This window comes from Homo sapiens, chromosome 2 (assembly GCF_000001405.40).
Source record: "Homo sapiens chromosome 2, GRCh38.p14 Primary Assembly".
Classification (NCBI taxonomy): Eukaryota; Metazoa; Chordata; class Mammalia; order Primates; family Hominidae; genus Homo; species Homo sapiens.
The window spans coordinates 83952280-83954460 of record NC_000002.12 but is presented as its reverse complement, the minus strand read 5'-3'; the positions used below and the strand labels follow the sequence as shown (position 1 = coordinate 83954460).

Sequence of the window (2181 nt, the reverse complement as noted above, 5' to 3'; positions counted from 1 at the left end):
AGGCATCAGAGATTTATCTAGCTATTAGGGCTACTCTCTTATATTTCAAAAAGAGTGAGAAAAAATCACTGCATTATTCTAATTACAGCTCCTTTGGAAAGTTAGAGAGGTCAAAGATTTTTCTCTGAAAGCAGCATATCTGCAGTTTGGGAGCCAGTCCTCAAAGTTTCTATCTGGAAAGCAACAAAGATTATACTTCCCCCACTCTAGAGGGACACTTCCTTCCCTCCGTTGAAATTCTTTGTTTTATATCACATCATGCTGGCTAGGAAGATAATACTTGTGATTGCTCCTGTATTTATTTCCCCTGCAAATTGCTGCTAGGACCTGGTTCTGTGCAGTGAATCACTATTTTGTCACACTACAAATATCAGCAGCACCTAGCTGATTCCACTTAAAATAAAAAGAAGGAAAAAAAAAAGGAACAAAGCCCAAATTTCAAACCAAGCACTAAGTGTCTCTGAAATCCCTGCAGCAAGCATGATGTTCTTTTTACACAGGGAAACAGAGCCACGTCTGCAATGCAGCATTGGCTGCTTTCCTGATTTGCTTAGGTTACTTTTAAAGGAATTTCTGCTCTTGCTGAGTACTTAAGTGTGAATGACACTGAAGTACACAGCCAGAGCAGCTGTGCCCATTAGCACCTTCCTCAGGCACTGGCTCTTCAAGGTGTTGGGCACTAAGCTTAAAACCAGGGCCCTAGTCACAAAAGATGCTACCCATAGTCTATTTCCCTTTGCTAAATCCTATGATTATTAGTGTAAGATATGCCACAATGTTACTTTTTTTTTTTTTTTTTTTTTTTACCATTTTTTACCATTAGTAAGCACTTTCACAGATATTAAGTAGTATATTGCCTGATTCTCACATCTATTCTGTAAAGTAGACGGGACAAGATCATGTTTTGTTTTTTTTTTTTGAGATGGAGTCTCGCTCTGTCGCCCAGGCTGGAGTGCAGTGGCACGATCGTGGCTCACTGCAAGCTCCGCCTCCCGGGTTCACGCCATTCTCCAGCCTCAGCCTCCCAAGTAGCTGGGACTACTACAGGCGCCCGCCACCACGCCCGGCTAATTTTTTGTTTTTTTTTTAGTAGAGATGGGGTTTCACCGTGTTAGCCAGTATGGTCTCAATCTCCTGACCTCGTGATCTGCCTGCCTAAGCCTCCCAAATTGCTGAGATTACAGGCGTGAGCCACTGCACCTGGCCAAGATCATGTTTTTATTTTCAGATGAAAATATACAGTGACTCAGAGAAGTGAAGCAACTTGTCCACAGACACAATGCTCTGAAAAAATAAAGCTGGAACTCAAAATCAAGGATTCTTTTTCTGAAGCTGGAGGTTTTCTCACTAAAGCTCTCATTTCTTCTGCAAGAACCTCTGTGAGCAAACAGGCTTTTGTAAACAGGCTTTTGCCAGATCATGATACAATCGTCAAACCACTGTAGACATTTTTTTCTTTTGTCCTGAGTATGCAGGATTCTCATGCCGCAACGCAGACTTGTCTATGCTGATTTACTCCATCTAACACCCTCTCCTTTGTGCCCTATTTCCTGGAGTGATGAATGAGTCTTTGTTCAGCGCTGTGCTTTTTTTTTTTTTTTTTTTTTTTTTTTTTTGAGACAGAGTTTCACCCTGTCACCCAGGAAGGAGTGAAATGGCACGATCTCAGCTCACTGCAACCTCTGCCTCCTGGGTTCAAATGATTCTCCTGCCTCAGCCTCCTGGTAGCTGGGATTACAGGCGCCTGCCACCACACCCAGCAATTTTTGTATTTTTAGTAGTGACAGGGTTTCACCATGTTGGTCAGGCTGGTCTTGAACTCCTGACCTCAGGTGATCCACCGGCCTCAGCCTCCCAAAATGCTGGGATTACAGGAGTGAGCCACCGCGCCTGGCCGGCGCTGTGCTTCTAGGTTAGTGAGAGGCTGGACACGTGACTGCTAGTGACGTAGTGCATTTCGTCTCCTGGTGTGTGCATTTCTTTTGGAATAGGAATTAACTCCTAGATGCACATGCTTTAACCTAGAGTAGTGGGTATTAGAGGCACCTCAGTAGTGCACACAATCTACTTAAGTATGAGGCTGATGATGCTGGCTCATATAATAAGTTAACATTCCTAGGTGAGCATGCTCCCAGATGCTTCTTGTCTCCCGTTCCTCTCTCCTTTGCTCCTCCTCATCAC

At 43.8% G+C, this 2181-nt stretch overlaps 1 annotated feature.

The window, feature by feature from the left end:
• Window positions 336–880: an enhancer, noted in NCBI's record as "NANOG hESC enhancer chr2:84180705-84181249 (GRCh37/hg19 assembly coordinates)". NCBI's record gives its function as "activates a minimal SCP1, AML or CMV promoter by ChIP-STARR-seq in naive H9 embryonic stem cells {active_cell/tissue: H9 hESC(naive)}" and the evidence as "EXISTENCE:reporter gene assay evidence [ECO:0000049][PMID:30033119]".